General features: G+C 52.7%; 1 protein-coding gene across 6 annotated transcripts in view, besides 4 other annotated features; it reads right to left on the bottom strand.

Moving 5' to 3' along the window:
- The window catches only part of MAN1C1 (mannosidase alpha class 1C member 1), a 167,660-nt gene that overhangs the window by 5,230 nt on the left and 140,483 nt on the right, over nucleotides 1–21,947 (bottom strand). For 4 of the 6 annotated variants that reach the window (NM_001385182.1, NM_020379.4, NM_001289010.2 and 1 more), the window contains 4 exons: nucleotides 20,512–20,629; nucleotides 15,254–15,347; nucleotides 7,449–7,564; nucleotides 897–1,116 (listed from right to left, as the gene is read on the bottom strand). In NM_001385182.1, the coding sequence (NP_001372111.1) occupies nucleotides 897–1,116; nucleotides 7,449–7,564; nucleotides 15,254–15,347; nucleotides 20,512–20,629 (548 nt within the window). Of the gene's footprint in view, nucleotides 1–896; nucleotides 1,117–7,448; nucleotides 7,565–15,253; nucleotides 15,348–20,439; nucleotides 20,630–21,947 lie in introns of all 6 variants that reach the window. The other 2 variants (NM_001385183.1, NM_001385184.1) reach the window with 2 other exon arrangements.
- Nucleotides 3,852–4,021: an enhancer, noted in NCBI's record as "active region_465". NCBI's record gives its function as "activates an Ori minimal core promoter by ATAC-STARR-seq in GM12878 lymphoblastoid cells {active_cell/tissue: GM12878}" and the evidence as "EXISTENCE:reporter gene assay evidence [ECO:0000049][PMID:35858748]".
- Nucleotides 4,192–4,341: an enhancer, noted in NCBI's record as "active region_464". NCBI's record gives its function as "activates an Ori minimal core promoter by ATAC-STARR-seq in GM12878 lymphoblastoid cells {active_cell/tissue: GM12878}" and the evidence as "EXISTENCE:reporter gene assay evidence [ECO:0000049][PMID:35858748]".
- Nucleotides 6,413–7,385: an enhancer, noted in NCBI's record as "H3K27ac-H3K4me1 hESC enhancer chr1:26098327-26099299 (GRCh37/hg19 assembly coordinates)". NCBI's record gives its function as "activates a minimal SCP1, AML or CMV promoter by ChIP-STARR-seq in primed H9 embryonic stem cells {active_cell/tissue: H9 hESC(primed)}" and the evidence as "EXISTENCE:reporter gene assay evidence [ECO:0000049][PMID:30033119]".
- Nucleotides 21,294–21,793: an enhancer, noted in NCBI's record as "H3K4me1 hESC enhancer chr1:26083919-26084418 (GRCh37/hg19 assembly coordinates)". NCBI's record gives its function as "activates a minimal SCP1, AML or CMV promoter by ChIP-STARR-seq in primed H9 embryonic stem cells {active_cell/tissue: H9 hESC(primed)}" and the evidence as "EXISTENCE:reporter gene assay evidence [ECO:0000049][PMID:30033119]".

Genomic DNA, 21,947 nt, shown 5'->3' with positions numbered 1-21,947 from the left:
CTCCTGGCCATCAGAAAACAGTCATTTTGTCAAGCGCTGCTTGAGCCTGGGATTTTTACTGCAAATCTTGGGTCGTCCCCTCCAACCAACACTGGGATTACCACTCAGAGCGGTGGGCGTCTCCTGGGACCACACGGGGGCTGGGGATTTTTCTGAGGGGTGCAGTTTGCGCACGGGGTGGAACCAGGCATCAGAAGGCCTGGGTTCCAGCCCAGGATCAATTCCTCATGTGCAGTGTGACTTTGGCTAAGTCACTTCCCCTCTCTGGGCTGACTCCACTTCTCTGTGTAGAATGAGGAGCCAGGCTCAGGCTCTCAAATGTGACCTCTGATTCTAGCATCGGACAATTCAGTGGTGAGTGGTGGGTGGGGAGGACCAAGCTCTCAGGCTTTCCGGTGATCATGGGTCAAAGAGGGCGACTAAACAGGTGGGAGCAGGAGGCGGTGAAACCCCCTCTAAGGAGGGTGCCGGGGGAAAGGCAGAGGCACATTTGAAAGTAGGAGACTCAGGGTGGGACATGTGCCGGGCTCAGGAAGCCGCCGTTTCTGCCTCCGGGGCTGGAGGATCCTTTACTCTGTGCCCCTCTCAAGGGACCTTGGCCAAGTAATCTCTGAGCCTCAGTTTCCTCATCTGTGTGGTGAGGTTCAGTGATGTTGTGTCAAGTGCGGAAGAGTACCAGGTACATGCAAAGCGCTTCCTGTGTCTGTACTAGTTTCCCTTTCATTCAGGGTATGGTCTCGGAGCCTGGAGAGTACCTCTCTCAAATTCTACTTAACTTCCAAGGGGAGGCTTCCCTAAGGCCATGTGCTCCCTTCGCTCACTGCTGCCGGTCTTTCCAGTTCTTCCTGGTGTCTAGCCTCAGTCTCTCCTGCTGCCCCTTCCCCTTGCAGGGTTACCTGAGCGGGCGTATGACTCGTGACACGTCTTGGTGATCTGGGCTGCGAGCTCTCGGTAGTGGGCCCTCTTTTCTTCCTTGGCATCCTCGGCGCCAAGGGCGATCATGCCCCCGGAGAAACAGGCCAGGTGCCCCATCTTGTGGTCCAGAATCCCCCCTCGCCACTCGGCAATGTAGGTCAGCCCCCCGGGAGAGACATTCAGCAAGTAGGTCTCTATCGCCTGGGAGCAAGGTGGGGATTGGGCAGGGAGAAGGGGCGTGGGAGGGCACAGAGAAGGGGGGGAAAGGATGGAAAATGAACATTTTGGAGACAGTAGCAAGGGCAGCTCTGCCAAGCCCTCCATCCCAGGCAAAGGAGGCCCATTGATCTCTGCTGGTCAAGATGCCTGCCAGGGCACAGGAGGGGCTGCTATTCGCTGGGAGGCTCAGACACAGGGCAGCTCCCCAGGGCAAGTCTCTTACACAGCCTTTAAAATCTTCCATGTTTTAAAAAACGTTAAAAAATATTTTAAGGTGATCCTCCTCCTCCATTATGTCCTCTGTTTGATCTTAACCAGAAGCCCAGCTGGCCTGTGGATGGGCTTCAGGGGTCCAGGCCCTTAAAACTGTACCCAACACTTTCTGGTGGATGTGCATCTTTATGGGAAGAGTGTCCATCTATTCTTACCAGTTTCTCAAAAAGAACCTGCAGAAAATTAAGAGCTGTTCTCTAGGAGTATCTTGTCACACGTTTCCTCATTTAATGCCTACAGCAAGCCAGGCACCTGGGCTGCCGCGCCCTACACAGACAAATGGGAGGTGTGGCAGCTTGTCCCAGGCCACCCAGCCACACCAGCCTAGAAACAAGACCCCACAATGTCCAGAGCTCTGCTTCTTCCACTACCTGATGGCCATGCCTTTTGGTGGGAAGGGAGGTGATGCTGTTGTAAAGACTCTGGGATGTCGGGGGCGTGAGGGGGTCAGACTGCTCTCACCCCAGGAGCCCTGGGGACCAAGGGGAGGGAGGAAGCTGCTCACACAGTCTCGAGGCCAGACTCCATGGGCTGGTGGGGCCTGGCCCATGGCTGGGGTCCTCTGGGGCCCTTCCAGGCCTCTGCCTCCACTTTCACCCCTCCAATCTACTCTCCAGGGGGTCTCTGTACTCTGCAATTAACAAACCGGATCATATCATCTGCCTGCTTAGAACCTTCAGTGGTTTCCAAGTGCCCTTATGTGAAAACACCAGAGGGGCCTCCAAGACTCCACGATCTGGACCTTGAGGGTGGACCTGATTCTATGGACATGGCTCTGGGGCACAGACTCATCAGGTTCAAATTTCATCTCCACCAGTTCCACGCTGTGTGACACTGGGCAGGTTGTATGTTCTCTCTGTGCCTCAGTTTCCTAACGTGTAAACTGGGGATAAGAGCATTAACTGCCTCATAGGGTTGTGAGAATTAAATGAGATATGCCTGCAGGACTTGGCCTATTTCCCAGCACAGAGCGAGTCCCCACTAATTACTGACCCCTATGATTCCACTCTAGTCTGTCTCCTGCCCCTCCCTCCTCACACCCTACCTCACCTACACTGGCCTTTTTTCACTCAGGTACCCTCCTGGCTTACAATATCTCGGCAGCCATGTAATATTTCCTTGGTGTCAGCGCTGTGCTAGGTACTGGGGCTACAGGTGTGCTGGAGAGGAGCCTGGACTCTGCCTCAGGGAGCTCACCCATTAGTGCAGAGAATTCCCAACAAAACCAAATATATATGAGAGGTGCAATTCGTTTTGTTTTGAGACACAGTCTTACTCTGTCACCCAGGCTGAAGTGCAGTGGCATGATCTTGGCTCACTGCAACCTCCGCCTCCCAAGTTTAAACCATTCTCGTGCCTCAGCCTCCCAAGTAGCTGGGTAATTATAGGCGTGTGCCACCACCCCCGGCTAATTTTTGTATTTTTAGTAGAGATGGGGTTTCACCATGTTGGCCAGGCTGGTCTTGAACTCCTGACCTCAGGGGATCCACCCACCTCGGCCTCCCAAAATGTTGGGATTACAGGCGTGAGCCACCACAACTGGCTGAGAGGTACAATTTGTGATCAGCATTTTGAATAAAACAAAGTGAGAGGATGAGATTAAAAAATGCAGGGGTATGCGGGGAGGGGCTGGACGCAGTGGCTCACGCCTGTAATCCCAGCACTTTGGGAGGCTGAGGCAGATGGATCATTTGAGCCCAGTAGTTTGAAACCAGCCTGGGCAACATGGCAAAAACCCATCTCTACTAAAAATATAAGAATTAGCCAGGCACGGTAGTGCATACCTGTAGTCCCAGCTACTTGGGAGGCTGAGGTGGGAGAATCACTTGAATCCAGGAGGCAGAAGTTGCGGTGAGCCAAGATTGCACCACTGCACTCCACTCTGGGCAATAGAGTGAGACTCTGTCATAAAAAAACAAACAAACAAAAAACCCAAGAAAACAAAACAAAACAAAAAAAACTGGGGTGGGGGCAGTGCTGTACTTTGCAGAGGGAGGTCAGGGAAAATCTCTCTGCAAAGGTGACATTCTTGAAAGCTGCATTTTTCTTCCTGCTTCGGGGCTTAGCTGGTGCTGCGCCTCCTTCCTGCATGCTCCAGCCCTGACTCTGCTAACCCCACCTCCTCCAGAATGTCACTTCCTTGGAGAGAATGCCCCAATTTAAACCAGCACTGCCACTGCCATTACCTATGGGCCCCTGTCACCCTTCTACATGGTGCCATTCCTACTTGGCATCTGTTTCTGTTGTATATCTGTCTCTCTCTCAGACTCTGAGTGCCGTGTGACAGCAGAAGCCACCAGCAGCAGCCTCCAGCCAGTGCCCGACACACAGAAGATGCTCAAGGAACACTCGCTCACTCCTGGGTCTGTTTTTTCCTTTTTTCTCTCCTGTCAGGGCCCAGGGCTGGTGGGCTGGCTGCAGGACCCACACTGAGTGGCAGATGGAAAAGCGCTGACAATGTGACATGCCAGGGCACCTGCTCCACATGGGGGAGTGCTGAGGACACCTGCAGAGCAGCCGGGCTGCAGGCAGGGGTCTGCTCTGGGCCCGGCCTGGCTCCCGGGCAGAGCCATGTCCCTGGCAGCTGCTCGGCGTCACTAAGCCTGCGGTGCAGGGGAGGAGTGTCAGGGCTCAGAAACCTGGGTCCGAGTCACCAGTTGTCAACACTTTGGAGAGAACACAGACATCTGAGGGAGACCTCAGGATGCTGCGCACCAGACCTGGCACCTGCACCTTCCAGACCGCCTCCCACACATTATTTCCACTGGGGGTTGGCCCCAAGCTAAGTAATTGCAGTCAAGAGGAAATTATAAACCACTGCCTCTTTGAAGACACAACTGAGACACGCAGATGCAAAGATAAAAAACAAGGCTTTCTAAAACAAAACACAAGACAGTGCAGGCTGGCAGACGACTGGTAAAAGGTTTAAATCACAGCAAGCAGCGGTGCAAGGAGCTAAGTGGGGCACAAGACCAGGGTTTTTTTTTTTTAATGTATTAACAAAAATATTTGTGCTGTTCCTTGTGGAGCAGGGCTAACCCATAGGCAGTGAGCCCAGCGTGGCGAGAGGCCTGGGTTTGAATCTCAGCTCTGCGATTTAGGAGCTAGATGACCTTGGGCAAGTTATTTCACTTTAATGAAGACTCACTTTGCTCATCTATAAAATGGGAGTAATGATTCCTGGGTTGGTTGTGAGGATTAAAGGAGAGGATATTCGAAGCCTGGCTCAGTGCCTGGCGCTGGCTGTTCCTTCCTTTGCCGCCTGCAGGAGCCCCATCTGAGCACTCGCGGGAGGGGTTTCAGGCAAGCCAGGCCCCTCTGTGATTTGGCTGCTGGTAAGTAGAGGCCAGCCCAATGGATCTGGAGTCAGACCCGTGTTTGTGTCCTGGCTCTGACACTTGTTGCTATATGGACCTTGGGCCTTTCTGACCCTCAGTTTCGTCATCTGTAAGATGGGGGCTAAATAAGATGAGGTACTTAGAGCACTAGCTCAGAGGAGGCCAAAGTGACCAAAGCTCTTCCTGTTCTTCTTCTTTGTCTCCTGCCGTGACACTCAGGGGTGTGCCCAGTCCGATCTGTCTGACCCTCCCCGGTCCATCCCAGCTGGACACTGGTCTAACCTGGTGGTTTTCTGACCCCAGGTGCACAACAGAATTGTGGAAGGAACTTTTTAAAAATCTCAGATTGGGATTTATTGGCCTGGGGTGAGGCTAGACATGGGATTTTTAAAGCTCTCCAGGTGATCCTAAGGTGCAGGCAGGGGTGAAGGTCTTTGGTGGGTGGTTCCCAACCCTGACTATACACGAAATCCCAAGGAGGTTTATGTGTGGCCCGGGCCCAGTGCCCAGAGGTTCTGAGTCAGGGGTGCAGTCTGAACATCAGGACTTTGCAGCTCCCTAGGTGATTTTAACATGGCAACAAGGTTGAGAACCACCAGAAAATTCTTCAAAACCCCAAACTTGCCAGAGGCCCAGCCTTCACCCAGGGTCAAAGATGCTCCAGGCTCTTCACTGGGAAGATCAAATGCAGAGAGCAAAGCCTCTTCTATTCAAAGTTCTCTCCTACAAAATCAAGTGCTCTGAGTTTCCTTAAATAATTCATGGCCATTTCTTCCCTTGATGGCTCAACTACTGTGTGCCCTGAGGGCAGGGAGCCTGGCTGCTCATTAACTTTATGTTTACTCTGCAAGGGAAGGCAGAAAGGGCCTCTGGGCAGCACACTCCGGCCACCACCAGCTGCACACTAATTCTCTGACCGGGGCTCTGGTCTGAGCTCAGCCAAAGACAGGAGTGAACAAGACTGGGACCCAGACTGAGATGGGACTGCAGTCCCAGAAGCTGCTTCATGACTGAGGTCTTGTGCCAGGGAGCTGAGCAGGGAAAAATCATTACTGAGCCTACAGTTTAAAGGGTCCATGGCTCTAGCAGTCCGTTTCAATGTGTGTCTTTTAAGCACCACCATTCCTGGCCAGATTCCTGTGATCAGAGGGTAGTCACAGACCATCTATCCATCCATCCAACTGCCCACACCCACCCACCCATCTATCTACTCACCCATCCATCCTTCCCTCCATCCATCCTTCCCTCCATTCATCCTTTCAGCATTCATGCACCCATGCATTCATTCATTCACAAAACAGTTACCATGGGCCTGCTATGTGCCAGGCACTGTTTTAGGAGCAGACAAGATCTCTGATCCCAGATAACTGATATTCTATTTGGGGAAGATAGAGAATGAGCAAGTAAACAAATATGTGCCTGTGATAATTTTAGAGGCTGATGAAGGTGAAGAGAATAAGCCTGAGTATGTGACAGGCTGGGAATGGTAGTTTCAGTGGCATTTGAATTGAGAGTTGACTAGTGAAAGGGACCCAGCCATTGGAATGATATTCCAGGCAGAGGGGACAGCAAGTGCAAAGGCCCTGAGGTGGGAGTCGCCTGGGGTGTCTGAGGAAGAGCAGGAAGACTGGTGCCCAGGGCCCAGAGAGCACAGAGCAGAGAGGCAGGCGTGAAGTCAGGGTGATCAGCAGGGCCCAGGGAAGGCGGACCCGATGGGTAAAGGAGAGGAGTTGGATTTATTCCAGGTGCTAAGGGAAGCCAGAGAGGAGAGGGATGTGCGTGTCCAGCTCTTCTGGCTTCTGTTCCCCACACAGCATTCAGAGGGCAGGGCAGAGGGGAAGCCAGTTTAGAGAAAATAAGGAGGTAGTGTAGACCAAGGTGGTGGCAGAGTAGATCCGACTTGCTCAACTTGCTTTATGGGGAAACTGAGGCCCAGAACAGGCCCAGTGCCTTTTCCTTAGTTGGGCTCCAAAGTATCTGTTGAGTGGTGGGATTCCTTAGCCCTCTTCCCAATGGCTCAGGCTAACTGATTCCCTCTTTCGTCCTCGTCTCTCCTCTTTGGAAGGACTCACCTCAGCCTTCCAGCCCTCGTTCATTCCACACCCCGCGGACAGACCAGCAGTGGTGCCAGCTTGGCCAGCTCTGTGCTGTGTGGCCTTGGGCAAGTGCCTTCCCCTCTCTAGGCCTTGGTTTCCATCCACACAAAGAGAAGGAGCAAAACTGGATGCTCCACTGAAGGAGGCCTCTTCCAGCTTGGACATACTTCTCATGTCACCTCTACTGTCCAAGGAAGACACAGCTGAGGGTCTCACTCTGGCAGCCACCCTTGGGGGTGCCAGCCCACAGTCTAGCTGCACTCTGGGCTCTGATACATCAGCCAAAGCATAGACACCAAGCAGGTGGTGGTTTCTGAATCAGACTGACGGTCACTTCCCGTGAGACCTTGGATAAATGACTTCACCTCCCAGAGCTTAGGTTTCACATCTAACAAAGCCCCAGTCTTAGAGCATGTGGGAGGGTCGCAGGGTGTAAAATGCCTGGCTGGGAGGGGACTGTCCTGTCAATCTTCTCACCGGTTCATTGCAGGGGGTGGGAGCAAGTCTCGGCCCATCTGGCCCCGCTGCCCGCAGCACCCTCGCTCGGCCGTGAGAGAGCCGGGGGCTGGTGACCAGCGGCCTGTGAATAATCCAGGGCTTGTCTTACCTCCAAGGCTTCGTAGTACATATTTTTAGCCTCCATATCTGTCTTGCCCGACATCAACCAGGATTTGATCAAATATTCATAAAAACTGTCCCCGAGTCCTCCAACTGAGACATGGTCTGTGAAGGGAAAGAGGACAAGAACATTATCTCCATCTGCCGCCGGCTCTCACGGGGCAGGGCCTCGCACACCCGCCTGACCTCAGGGGCCCGGTGCCTGTACGGGTAGGAAGCGGGCATCTCGCCAGCAGCCACCGAACCTGGAATGGGTACTGCGAGGCAGACACAGCCTGCGACTTGGAGGAAACCAGGGCTGTCTAGAGAGCGCTCATCCTGCACAAAAGTGCACGGGCTCATCCGGCGGGTGCTATAAATCACCTCGCCTTAGCAGGCTGGGGACGGCAGGGCCTCTGGTTATTAACTGTAAGTGAGTTGCATTTCTTTACAAAGATAATCTGGTGGCAGGGAGTTCAGAGATTTTTATTACCCAGTGACAAACATGATAATTAATGCTGGGTAGCTTCATAAAAGGCCACGGGAAAGAGGAAGAAAAACCTTAATTTAGCTGGCCAAGCCCTCAAGTAGAGCCACTCTGGAAAAACAGAGTTTAAATTTAGCAAATTGAGATAAATGGAGTTCAAAGGAGCGGGAAAGAGAAGAATTGAGTTGGAACACCCCCTCTCTGCCCTGGTGGCCTCTGCCTGCTGGACAGTGGGCCAGCCAAGGAGCAGGGCCTCACAGGCTGTGGCTGAACCAGAGGTCTCTCCACCCAGGGCCGTCCCAGGAGGAAGACGGGTTGCCCGAGGAACACTTCACCGCAGACGCAAGACAGAAAACACTTCGCTCCCAGGCTTTGAAAATTAACAACAGGGAAACGTAAAGGCATTTGATAGATTTAACAAAGAACAAACCAGTTCTGTGTTCTGATTCACTTAAGCAGAGAGACAGAGAGAAGAAAGAAAATGGGGGTGGACTGAAGGCGGGGCGGGGGGAATGGGCAGAGTGTTTTCAACTCCTCAGCAGAAGAAGGGGGCAGACAGAGAGGGGAGAAGGAAAGTGGGCGGGGGGAAGAGGGACAGAAAGAGAGAACACGTCAACAGCTACCATTTATTGTGGGCCAGGAGCCTCAATGTATTATTTATAACTTAATCTTCCTGGGCACCCTGCAAGGCAGGTGCTATCGGCCCCATTTCCCAGGTGGGAGAACGGCAACTGGGCCTAAATGGCTCATCCAAGACCATCAAGCTGGTGAAAGGCAGAGCCTCACCTTCCACAGCTGCACAAAGTCAACCAGAGAGTGAAGACAGAGATACGTAGAGAAAGAAAGACAAATGTGAGGACCAAGGGACCAAAAGACAGGGCAAAGACAGATGGGACCCAGGAATGGGGGTCGAGAGGAGGCCAGCCACATGGTACACTCGCCCTTCCGGCCCCCTCCAGCCCTGATCCAGAAATAAGTCCTGGCCCAGCAAGTGTTCCAGAGCGGACCAGCATCTGCAAAAATTGGAACAGACAAGATGAAGCATGTGCTTTGGGGAGGAGCTGGAAAGGGCTGGGGTGGGCTGGACTATGCTCTGGTGTGGAGGGAAGAGAGAAGTGGCACCTCTCTCCTTCCTAGGTGCCCCACAGAAGAGAAGGGCTGGGCCAGGCCTGGCATGTTGAGGAGGGGCAGGTCTGTTGCAGAGGAGGGGCCGGGGAGGCTGGAAGTCATGGGTTGTCCTCTGCTCAGAGCCCTTCTCCAGCCCCGTCATGGGCACGGCAGCTACGAGCACTGTCACCTCTCGGTGTGGCGCACCCTCCCCACCTCATTCCCCACGCGGGGGCTCAGGCATTCTCACAAGCCTGCTCCCGGTCCCTCCCCATAGGGTGGCCACGGGGATTAAGTGAAACAAGGCCAGGCACCATCTGAAGCCCTCGGCGGCAGCACTCCCCTTGGGTGGTGGGCCCCCCTTGCCATCGGGTGCCCGCCGGGTGTGCGATGAGTGCCTGCGTACGGGTCTGCCTCCCTCACTAGCTCGTGGGCTCTTTGTGGGGAGGGATTGCATGCGACTCCCGCTCTGTGCCCAGTAACTACACGGCGCACAGAGATGCCCATGGAGTGCTGAGCAGGTGAATGGAAGGGAGGCCTGGGCTCTGCCGGGATGGGAGGCTTGGGCTGTGCCAGGAAGGGCCTGGAATGCCAAGCCAAGGAGTTTAGCCACAATCACGCGGTGGTGGAGTGTGTGCGTGACAAGGTCCAGGCTTCCTCTGGAGGGGCACGCAGGGGAGGGAGCCAGGTCATTAGGGTCCGCGGTGTTGAGATGCAGCTGCCTCTCAGGGGCACTTATGTGGGCATCTCACATGTGAAAGTCCCACTGCTTTACAGCTTGTGTGTGTGTGTGTGTGTATGTATGTATGGGGTGTGGGGTGAGTGTGTATGTGTGGTGAATGAATGTGTGTGGTGTATGTAGGTGTATGGGGGCGTGTGTGTGTGCTGAGGGGTATGGGTGTGTGGATGTGTGTGTAGGGAGAGTGTGTGTGTGTCAAGGAGTGTGGTGTGTAGTGTATGAGGGGACTATGTGTAGTGTGTGGGGTGTGTGCATGAGGCGAGTGTGTGTAATGTGTGGGGTGTGTGTGTGGAATGTGTGAGGGGAGTGTGTAGTGTGTGAAGGGAGTGTGTGGTGTGTGTGTGGGAGGGAGTGTGGGTGATAGGTGTGTGTGTGGGAGTGTGGGTGGTGTGTAGTGTGTGTGGGAGTGTGGGTGGTGTGTAGTGTGTGTGCCTGAGGGGAGTGTGTAGTGTATGTATATGTGAGGGGAGTGTGTGTAGTGTGGGGGTGTGTGTAGGGGAAGTGTGTGTGTGTAGTGTGTAAGGGGAGTGTGTATGTGAGGAAAGTGTGTGTAATATGTGTGTGGTGTGTGTGAGGGGAGTGTGTGTAGGGAGAGTGTATGTAATGTGTGTGGTGTGTGTGAGGGGAGTGTGGATATGTGTGAGCGCAGTGTGTGTAATGTGTGTATGTGTGAGGGGAGTGTGGATGTATGTGAGGGGACTGTGGGTGTGTGAGGGGAGTGTATGTAGGGGGAGTGTATGTAGTGTGTGTGTGTTAAGGGAGCGTGGATGTATGTGAGGGGTGTGTGGGTCTGTGTGTGTGGGGGAGTGTGTAATTGTGTGTGTGAGGGGAGTGTGGATGTATGTGAGGGGAGTGTGGGTGTGTGGGTCTGTGTGTGGGGGGAGTGTATGTAATGTGTGTGTGGTGTGTGTGAGGGGAGTGTGGATGTATGTGAGGGGAGTGTGGGTGTGTGGGTCTGTGTGGGGGAGTGTGTAATGTGTGTGTGTGAGGGGAGTGTGGATGTGTGTGAGGGGAGTGTGTAATTGTGTGTGGTGTGTTTGAGGGGAGTGTGGATGTATGTGAGGGGAGTGTGTGTGGGGGGAGTGTATGTAATGTGTGTGTGTGGTGTGTGTGAGGGGAGTGTGGATGTACGTGAAGGGAGTGTGTAATGCGTGTGTGTGAGGGGAGTGTGGATGTATGTGATGTGTGTGAGGGGAGTGTGGATGTGTGTGAGGGGAGTGTGTGTAATGTGTGTATGTGTGAGGGGAGTGTGGATGTATGTGAGGGGACTGTGGGTGTGTGAGGGGAGTGTATGTAGGGGGAGTGTATGTAGTGTGTGTGTGTTAAGGGAGCGTGGATGTATGTGAGGGGTGTGTGGGTCTGTGTGTGGGGGGGAGTGTGTGTGTGTGTGAGGGGAGTGTGGATGTATGTGAGGGGAGTGTGGGTGTGTGGGTCTGTGTGTGTGGGGGAGTGTATGTAATGTGTGTGTGGTGTGTGTGAGGGGAGTGTGGATGTATGTGAGGGGAGTGTGGGTGTGTGGGTCTGTGTGGGGGAGTGTGTAATGTGTGTGTATGAGGGGAGTGTGAATGTATGTGAGGGGAGTGTGTGGGGGGAGTGTATGTAATGTGTGTGTAGTGTGTGTGAGGGGAGTGTGGATGTACGTGAGGGGAGTGTGTAATGCGTGTGTGTTAGGGGAGTGTGGATTATGTGAGGGGAGTGTGGGTGTGTGGGTCTGTGTGTGTGAGGGGAGTGTGTAATGTATGTGTGAGGGGAGTGTGGATGTATGTAAGGAGAGTGTGGCTGTGTGGGTCTGTGTGTGGGGGGAGTGTGTAATGTGTGTGTGTGAGGGGAGTGTGGATGTATGTGAGGGTAGTGTGGTATGTGGGTCTGTGTGTGTGGGTGTGTGTGAGGGGAGTGTGTGTGAGGGGAGTGTGTGTAGGAGTGTATGTAGTATGTAATGTGTGTGTGAGGGAAGTGTGGATGTATGTGAGGGGAGTGTGGGTGTGTGGGTCTGTGTGTATGGTGGAGTGTGTAATGTGTGTGTGTCTGGGAGGGTGGGTGGGGTGGTAGGGGTGTGTGTGTGTGTGTGTGGAGTGTGGACGTATGTGAGGGTAGTGGTGTGTGGGTCTGTGTGTGGGGGGAGTGTGTGAGGGGAGTGTGGGTGTGTGAGGGGAGAGTAGGAGTGTATGTAGTGTGTAATGTGTGTGTGTGAGGGGAGTGTGGATGTGAGGGGAGTGTGGGTGTGTGTGTATGGGGGAGTGTGTAATGTGTGTGTGTCTGGGAGGGTGGGTGGGGTGGTAGGGGTGTGTGTGTGTGTGTACGAGTGTGGTCTTCCCCAACACTGCGAGGCGGGCTGGGAGAAGCACAGGCATAGGAATGAGAAGACATTGTTCTGCATTAGCTCAGGGTGCACCCCTGCCCACTCTGGGCCTTGGTCTCCCCATCTGCAGATGTGTGAAGGGGGCACGAGCTGGTGTCCGTGAGCCCCAGAGCAGAGGCAGGCTCTGCTGCTTCCTGACCGTGCCAATGCGCTCGTCACACCTGGCAGCAGGAGGCTGGGCCACAAGCCTGGAAATCAGCCGATCTGATGCCAGGGAAGCTGCCAGGCTGCAGCTCACACTCCTGTACCTACCAAGGAGGTCTGGACTTGCCACTTCCCTCCCACAGAAGAAAGTGTGGGATTCAGGCAGTGGACAAGTTACTCAGGTGCCGCACCGAGGGGCTGGTGACCCCTCCTCGGCAGCTCTCAGGGGGTTGGCCTCAGGGTGGTCTCATTTGTGTTGGGCACCATCGGGAGCCTGGTGGATTTATCCTGGATGTGAACTCTTAGCAATAGGACGGGTCTTGGGGCTCCCCTGTTACCCCTGAAGCTCGGTTTCCAGGAGGAGTGGGAAGCCAACAAGAGCAGAGGCCTAGGTAACTGAGATGCAGTCCTAACTCCTCCTTCGTTTCTCTAGGCTGCAATTTCTGTGGTTGCAAATGGGCTACGCAGAACCTGCCTGTCCTGCCTTCAGGCTTGTTCTGAAGATTCAAGAAGAGAAAATGATGTGCGTGCACTTAAGCTTATGCAAGGTGGTAATGCTATCAAGTGCTAAAAGAATACGTATGCACCAAAAAAAAAACCAACAAAAAACCACAGGAAACCTGAGATGACCCCGGGCACCAAGGCCAGGGGAGGAGGAAGGCAGACGTTTGGGCGAGCTGGGCATTATAACCCCCTCTGCTCTTTAGCAGGCCGAGGGCTCAGATTTTATTAATAGGAAACAATTTCCCATATGCGACTGACTTTGCCCAGACCTGCAGGCCCTGACTCTGCCTGAGAAGAAAATTATGCTTCCCGGCAGGGGCTCCCTTATAATTTGCCAAGGTAACTGTTGAGCTAGGAAGCCCACACCCCTTTCAGCCCTTTTCATGGGTTCTGCTGCCTTGCCCTGGAGCAGCTCAGAGGGGTTTATCTCCTTATCCAGTCAGGTCTCGCAATTAAAACCAGCAACTGTTATCGAACTGCCTCTTCCCGTGGCTATAATCTGCAATTCAAGCTTCATTTTCTCCCCGTACTTTTGGATTCGGCAGTGTGTTTTGGTTAAAAATACTCTGCATTTCTCTAAGTGGTTTTTACGGGAGGCCACTTGGGGTGAGGTCGTCCCTGGGGGAAATTCCTGGGTTGAGTTTTCTGGGGGAGGTTCAGGTTGGAAGGAAAGGCCTCAGCTGCTTCGCCACAGTGTCCCCAATGCTGCCTCTCTAGGCCCCACTTGCATTGTTCCCTTTTGGGACAACTTGGACCATCTTTGGCAGATGGAAGTGAAATCTGTTTCCTGCAGCCTTTGACCATTCTTCCTACGCCCCTCCATGGCACACAAAGAATGCATCTCATTCTCTTCTTTCATTTTGCAGGACAGGAAACCAAGGTTCAAAGAGATACAGTGAATTCCCCCCTAAGCCACACAGTCATTAGACTCATACCCACTTTGCCCCTGAGCCCTTGCTGATGTCACAAAAACTGGGTTGGAGGCAGGGGAAAGGGAAGGGGGTCCTTGTTTGCACACAGACAGTGGGGGTGGGGGCTCTGCCAGGTCTTGGGAGGCCCTAGAGGCAGTGCCCACGGAACCTGTCACTGCCAGTTCCAGCTGACCATGACCATGTGACCAGGGCCTGCCTCTGCTTCCCAGAGCTGGGCTTCTCAACAGGCATGCACATTCCAGAGGCCTGGGGGACTTGTCCACACTCTCACACCTAAGCGACCCCAAACCCCATTCTGTTGCAATGGGTAGGGCTGGGGGCTTGTGAATGATGTTCCATGGGTGACTGGCTGTTATCTGGCTGAGAAACAAGTCTCTGAACAGAGACCTTCTGAAAACTCTGGGACTGATTCTTGTAGGTCTAAGATGTATAGATGAATTCATGACGTCTTTTGTTTTTTTTTGGGACGGAGTCTTGCTCTGTCGCCCAGGTTGAAGTGCAGTGGTGCGGTCTTGGCTCACTGCAACCTCCGCCTCCCGGGTTCAAGCGATTCTCCTGCCTCAGCCTCCTGAGTAGCTGGGACTAGAGACACGTGCCACCACACCCAGCTACTTTTTGTATTTTTAGTAGAGACAGGGTTTCGCCATGTTGGCCAGGCTGGTCTAGAACTCCTGACCTCGTGATCCGCCTGCCTCGGCCTCCCGTCAGGTGCTTGGCCTGAATTCATGATTTCTACACTGTTGTATGGTTTTTGTTTGTTTGTTTGTTTGTTTGTTTTTTAAATTAAAGTTGGAGCCAGGCGTGGTGGCTCACGCCTGTAATCCCAGCACTTTGGGAGGCCGAGGCGGTTGGATCATTTGAGGTCAGGAGTTCGAGACCAGCTTGGCCAACATCTCTACTAAACCCCATCTCTACTAAAAATACAAAAAAAGTAGCCAGACATGGTGGCACATGCTTGTAGTCCCAGCTACTCGGGTGGCTGAGTCAGGAGAATCACTTGAACCTGGGAGGCAGAGGTTGCAGTGAGCCGAGATCGTGCCACTGCACTCCGGCCTGGGTGACAGAGTGAGACTCTGTCTCAAAAACAAAAAAACAAAAAAAAATTGAAGTTGGAAGTGGGGAGCCTGATCAAAGAGGCTTGGAAAGGATGCCTGGCCTCTCTTGGAGCCACTTCTAGAATGGATGACTCCACCTGGGACCCTCCCGAGAACCTGGGGTATAATGCAGGAGGCTCCCGCAGCAGCATAAGAGATGGAAGGCTGCGCCATTGATGGGGCCAGAGAAGGTAGGGTTTGGAACGCACAGGGCAGGCCTTCAGTAAACAGCAGCCATCACATCCGGCACTGCAGCAGCAGACAACCACAGGCAAGCCCCCAGGATGCATGGGAAGGCAGGTGGTGTCCAGGAGCACCGAGCGAATGCCTTGCTGGCTGCATGGCTCTGACAGACACATCCTCACTCAGCCCAGGGGCCTGGCAGGGTCTTCCTAGGAAGCCTGGGCAGGAACCCGCTGAATAAGGGGCAGTGGCGTCTCTGTACTCACGTTGCACCCAGTTCCCACTCACTGGGCTGAGGAAGTTGGGGTAGAGGCCAAAGGGCTTTTCGATCTTCCTGAGGACCTTGCGGATGTTCCTGACCTGCCGAGAGACGGACACCAGGTGAGCCTTCATGCTTCCGAAGAAGCCGACTGCACCCAGCCTGCTGAGGATGGGAGGCAGCTGGTTCAGATGCATGGAGGAAACCTTATGAGGAGGCAGGAAGGGAGAGCTGCCCAACGGACTGCAGGCTCCAACCCGGGGATGGTGACGTGGCCTTGCCCTGGTGCCACGTGAAGGGTGTGACAGGGCCTGATCCATAGCCTCTCCACTGACTGCTCTGCCTGGCACCTGGACAGTCTCAACCCCAGAACCACTGCCTGGCCGACTCCTATCCCACCCAACTCTCAACACTTCCTCATTGCTTGCTGCTTTAGGGGTACTTTGAGGGATTCTTTTGGGGAGGGTTTTTTTTTTTTTTTTTTTTTTGAGACAGTCTCACTCTGTCACTCAGGCTGGAGTGCAGTGGCACGATCTTGGCTCACTGCAACCTCTGCCTCCCAGGTTCAAGCAATGTTCGTGCCTCAGCCTCCTGAGTAGCTGAGATTACAGGCCTGTGCCACCACTCCTGGCTAATTTTTGTATTTTTAGTAGAGACAGGGTTTCACCATGTCAGCCAAGCTGGTCTCAAACTCCTGACCTTTTTTTTTGAGACAGTCTCAATCCATCACCCAGGCTGGAGTGCGGTAGCGCAATCTCAGCTCACGGCAACCTCCACCTCCCGGGTTCAAGTGGTTCTCCCGTCTCAGCCTCCTCAGTAGTTAAGACTACAGGCATGCACCACCACACCTGGCTAATTTTTGTATTTTTAGTAGAGATGGGGTTTCGCCATGTTGGCCAGGCTGGTCTCGAACTCTTGACCTCAAGTGATCCACCAGCCTCGGCCTCCCAAAGTGCTGGGATTATAGGCGTGAGTCACTGTGCCTGGCCTAGGGAGGGTTCTTTTAAAGGTGGGGTTAATTGACAGTAGCTCGTTTGTTAGCTTTAGGTAAAATTGCCTTGTTAATAGGTCAAAAATGGTCAAATCCAGCAATCCCACTATTGGGTATATATACAAAGGAAATGACATCAGTATGTTGAAGAGATTATCTATATTCCTGTGTTCACTGCAGCATTATTCAAATAGGCAAGATGTGGAATCAACCTAAATGTCCATCAACAGATGAATGAATAAAAAAAATGTGGTATAGCCAGGCATGGTGGCTCACGCCTATAATCCCAGCACTTTGGGAGGCCAAGGGAGGTGGATCACTTGAGGCCAGGAGTTTGAGACCAGCCGTGGCAACATGGTGAAACCCCCATCTCTACTAAAAATACAAAAATTGGCCAGGCGTGGTGGCACAGGCCTGTAATCTTAGCTACTCTGGAGGTGGAGACACAAGCACTGCTTGAACCTGAAGGTAGAGGTTGCAGTTAGCAGACATGGCGCCTTTGCACTCCAGCCTGGACTCTGTCTCAAAAAAAAAAAAGAAAAGAAAATGTGGTATAGTATAGGTTAGGGGTGGTGGCTCACTCCTGTAATCCCAGCACTTTGGGAGGCTGAGTTGGGCAGATTGTTTGAGCCCAGGAGTTTGAGACAAGCCTGGGTAACATGGCGAAACTGTCTCTACAAAACAAACAAATTAGCTGGGTGTGATGGCACATTCTCATAGTCCCAGCTACTCAGGAGGCTGAGGTGGGAGGATTGTTTAAGTCCAGGAGATTGAGGCTGGAGTGAGCTATAATCGTGCCACTCCACTTTAGCCTGGGCAACAGAGTGAGACTCTGCCTCAAAAAAAAAAAAAAAAAGAAAAGAAAAGAAAAGAAAGAAAATGTGGTATACACAATGGAATATAATTCAACCTTAAAAAAGAAAGAAATTCTGTCATTTGCAACATGTATGAACCCAGAGGATATTGTGTTAAGTGAAATAGGCCAGTCCAGAAAGACAAATACTTGATCTCACTTATAAGTGCAATGTAATAAAGTTGAACTCATGGAAGTGGAGAGTAGAGGCTGGGTGCAGTGGCTCACCCCTGTAGTCCCAGCACTTTGGGAGGCCGAGGCGGGCAGATCACCTGAGGTCAGGAGTTCGAGACCAGCCTGGCCAACATGGTGAAATCCCGTCTCTACTAAAAATACAAAAATTACCCAGGCATGGTGGTGGGCACCTGTAATCCCAGCTACTCGGGAGGCTGAGACAGGAGAATCGCTTGAACCGGGAGGTGGAGGTTGCAGTGAGCCGAGATAGTGCCACTGCACTCCAGGCTGGGCGACAGAGAGAGACTCCGTCTCAAAAAAAAAAAAAAAAAAAAAGAAGTAGAGGTAGAGAGTAGAATGGTGGTTACCAAGGGTTGGGGAGATGCTGATCAAAGGATATAAAATTTCAGTTAGGAGGAATAAGTTCAAGAGATCTATGGTATAAGACATGATGACTGTAGTTCATAACAATGTATTGTATTCTTAAAAACTGCTTAGTGCTAAGTGTTGCTAACTTAAGTATTCAGAATGCTTAAGTATTCTGGCCATTTAAAAAACAGTTAAGTATATAAGGCAATCAAAAAAAGGTCCAATATTGGCAGTTTCATATGGCCCAATCTAGTAATATGCTATTTTATCTGATGCCCTGGAATTATTTCGGGGGAGAGGCTTGGGCTCCTGAATAACCCCATGTCCTAACAGGCGTTTCAGTGTTTTAATAAAAATAATAATAATTATAAAAAGCAATAACAGTTGTTATCCTTTTTCAGTTCCTTTGAGCCAGATCCGTTATATACATTATCTCCAACCCTCATAACCGACAAGGGATTATCTCAGTGTAACAGACAAGAAACCTGAATCTCAGAGAGGTCTGGTGACTTGCTGATGGCCACCTGGTCCTTAAGTGGCAGAGCCAGGACGTGAATGAATTCTGACAACATAAACCATACATATTCCTGCCCAACACAGGGCAGCACTGGGCCAACACAGATCAGGGCCGTGACCATGGAGCACAGCCTGCCCCAGCTGGAGCAGAAAGAGGCTGGGTTTGCAACCTTTGGGGCTATGAAGGTGAGAAGTGGAATTCAAGAGGGCTTTATCTATAGTGCCTGCTCTCCGACAGTGGTTAAATCCTACTCAGCACGTCCTAGCCAGCACAAGACCCCTTGGGAGAGAAAGGCCCTTGGGACCACACTGTCTCATGTTGATAGAGTTATGTGTGTACGGGGCCGGGAGTGCGGGAGAGCCACCTTTCTGCAGGCAGACCTTCCTTTCCAGGTGACAGCACTTGGCTTTGCCACGTCAGATTTCATATCCATTTATGTTAACGAAGTCCATTACGGGGACAGGAATGTGCTTGTACCTGCGTTACTCTCGACTGTCCTGGTGGTGAGCAGTGAAGCAGGCCAAATTAGCTCCCCTGGAGGGTGCGGGCGCTTCTAGAATTTGGGCCAATTTGTTGACTGCCAATAATTGCCTCTGTGGGAGGCATGATTGGGGGATGAAAATAGCCAGAGTATGTAAATGTAGAGGAGACAGAGATAGACGGATGGACTCCAGAGCAAAAGCCTGCAGCCTGCTCTATCAATCTGGTCTGGAAGGAGCCAGCACATCCTGGGCTTGAATCACGGCTTTATCACTGACCAGCTGGAAGGCCCAGGGCAAGTGACTTGACCTCTCTGAGTCTTAGTTTCCTCCTCTGTAAATATGGGAACTCCAGGAAGACCCACCTCATAGGGTTGTTGGGAAGAGTAGAGCCATTATAAAGTGCCCAGCACATAGCGGGTGCTCAGGCAGGGGTAGCTATTACTCCAGAATAACCAGGGACTGGAGTGAGCTCCCTGTCCCACTCCATTCGGAGCTGGTCAGAACCTTCCTAGAGGAGTCTGATTTAAGAGCAATGGCAACAGGGAGGTTGGGGGATGGGACTTGGAGGTGGGAAAGGATCAGAAAATAAGAGCTACCAGGAAGTGAGGTTGAACTCATTCCACGAACTTTCAAATGGGGGAGTTTCAGGGAGGCAGAGTCCCTCTCAATGTAAGGAAAACACTTTTGAAGGAAGGGCTGCCAGGAGGACGGACTGTTTAAGGGTGGCGGCAGTGAGCTCCTTGTCAGAGAAAGTAATCAAGAAGAGGCTGAACAGCTCTTCTTGAGCTTCTTAAGGACACTCAGGTGGACTCCTACATTGAGTAAGTAGTGGTCCCAAACCATGCGTCAAAAAGCACATGAATGCATATTAAAAATGTAGATGCCTGGCCCTGGAGTGAAGCCCAGAAATCTGTTTCCTCACAGCTGTGCCAGGTAATGCTTTGAGGCTGGATGGCGACATGATACTGGGAGCCATGGGGTAGCTGTGGGAATCTATCATCTCCCAGTTGCCTGCTGGGAGCCGTGGCATAGAGGTGGGAATCTATCAGTCATCTCCCAGCTCCCATACTGGTCTAAGAGGCGGGCATTCCAGGGGGAAGACAAGGCTTTGGGAGTGGCACTGCCACAGAGTTCTCCTTGGAGGGCTCCAGAGGATGGGCAGGGCTTCCATCTCCCCAGGCAGCCCTCAGGGAGGGACTGTAGCTGCTGGAGCCTGAGTGCCATATGAGGGAGGTGTGAGCACTTCCCTTCTTTGGATTTGAGGTCAGACCTACAGCGACACTTCTAGCTAGTGGGGACTGCCCAAGGCCAGGTATGAGCAGCTGTCAGGGCTGATTGGTGTTCTAAGCTCCCCATGTGGCCTTAAACAGCAGGAATGAACAGTCAGGGCATCTGCCATGGCAGGGTATTGCCATGCCAGCCTGCTGATGGCATGAGCTAAACAGGCACAGGGAAGAAGGCAGGCAGATCTCACATGGAAAAGCTAAATGTCTCTGGAAAGGGGACTTCTGCAGTGGGTGGCCAATTCCTGCCAATGCAAGGTGGTGCCTAGATTTCAGTTGCACTTTCTCCAGATTTCACATATGGGTGGTTGCCACTGAGCTCACGCAGACCAGTGAGAACCTTTTCCCCGGCAGAATCTTGTCTCTCCTTTTCCCTCTGTAGAATCTTATTGACTCTGCGTGCTCACCTTCCCTGCCACCTGGCGTTGGGGTATAGGTAGCTACTATTTGCTACCTTAGTGGTAGCTTGGGCTCCCGGGCTCCCCACTGCCCTCCTGCTGATCCATGAGGGAGGACCCACTCGCCTCTGAAAACCCTGTGGCAGCCGCACGCTCATCCCTCTGCTCCGCAGGAAGAAGGGTGGGGAGGAGACTTGCCTTTTCAGCGAAGACCTGGTTGCCAGAGAGTTCAGTGAGGTGTAAGAATTCCAAGTGCAGGGATCCAAACTCCGCCAAGATGCTGCTGCTGCCGGCTGTGGCCCAGCCCCAGTTCCCACTGAAAAGACAGAAGCAGCCCCCGTCATCCCCCCTTTGGCCAGGCTGGCTCCTCTGCTGACAGTAACAGCAGCTGCTCGGTGGGGGCACCTACTATGTGACAGGCATGGAACCAGGAGCTTTCGCCGTACAATTTCAGTGAATCCTCCCTGGCCCCATGTCCTGATGAGGACACTGAGATAAAGTGACTCACTGAAGTTCATTTGAACCCAGGCCTGTCTGACTTGGAATATTCTTTGTCTCCATCATCAAGCAACCCCTGTAAGACTTGGGAGCTCGAGACCTGGTACAAGAGTTATGCTGAATTTACAGATGATGTGGATAATGCTATCAGGGGCCACAAAGACCCCACAGAACACCCGGTTGCTGTCCTCTGGCTGAAGGCACCGGATGGCTCACAACCATTGGTGGTTCTGCATGTGGAGGATAAACAGTGCTGTGATTCGGGTGCAAATGGGACCAATGAAAAGCAGAGTCCCCGCCTAGCTCTTTCCCTCTCCCAGCACACTGTCAGTGCTGCCCAAGGACATGAAATGGCCCCGGCCTGGAATTTCATGGAACCTACATAGGACAGGCAGGGAGCTCTGGTGTGACCACACATCTGGAGCTGTGTGCTTTCAAAGACAAAGAATGCAGAGGCAGGATCCTGGTTAATCCTCACAGCTGCCCCTTTTGCAAACGCGGTAAACAAGGCACAGGACAGTGATGTCCCCTGCCTGAGATCACACAGTAATTTGAAGAGCTGGGACCCAGAGCTGGCTCTGATGCCAGAGCCTGTGCTAACTGCTGTGCAGTTTGCTTCTCTTTTGATCATAGGATAGGGAACAAGGACACTGCCTTTCCGGGAGCATTCACTGAAAGTCTCCCTGAGATCTGGAGCCAGAAGGTGCAGGTTCAAGTGTCGCTCAGCTGGAGCCCTCGGGCAAACCACTTAATCCTCGCATGCCTCCGTGCCTGCATCCGTAAGACACAGTGAAGGCGAAGCCTCCATCTCCTAGGTTCATGCCTCCTCCTTCCTGGGCTTTTGTGGGAATAAAGAGGAAAAGAAGGTGCAGAATGGGGGTGGTTCTGGGCAAGCTGCCCCCCCCCCCCGTGCCTCAGTTTCCTCATATGTATCATGATTATCTTTCCTGTGGGATATTTAGGACAACCAAGGGCACAGGGTCTGCAGGAAGGCTGTGGTGGACAGAGGTGGGGCAGAGCAGGGTGGTGTGACCTCCTCCCATTTGTAGACGCTCTGAGGTGTAGTTAGTGTGGAGCAGGTTGAGCGACTGGCTCTGCCAGGGGCACTCTGCTTCCTTGCTCCTGGTCACACTGCC

This window comes from Homo sapiens, chromosome 1 (genome assembly GCF_000001405.40).
Source record: "Homo sapiens chromosome 1, GRCh38.p14 Primary Assembly".
NCBI classification, from domain to species: Eukaryota; Metazoa; Chordata; class Mammalia; order Primates; family Hominidae; genus Homo; species Homo sapiens.
Note: the sequence above shows the minus strand (reverse complement) of the source record. Positions and strands in the feature narration are given on the sequence as shown.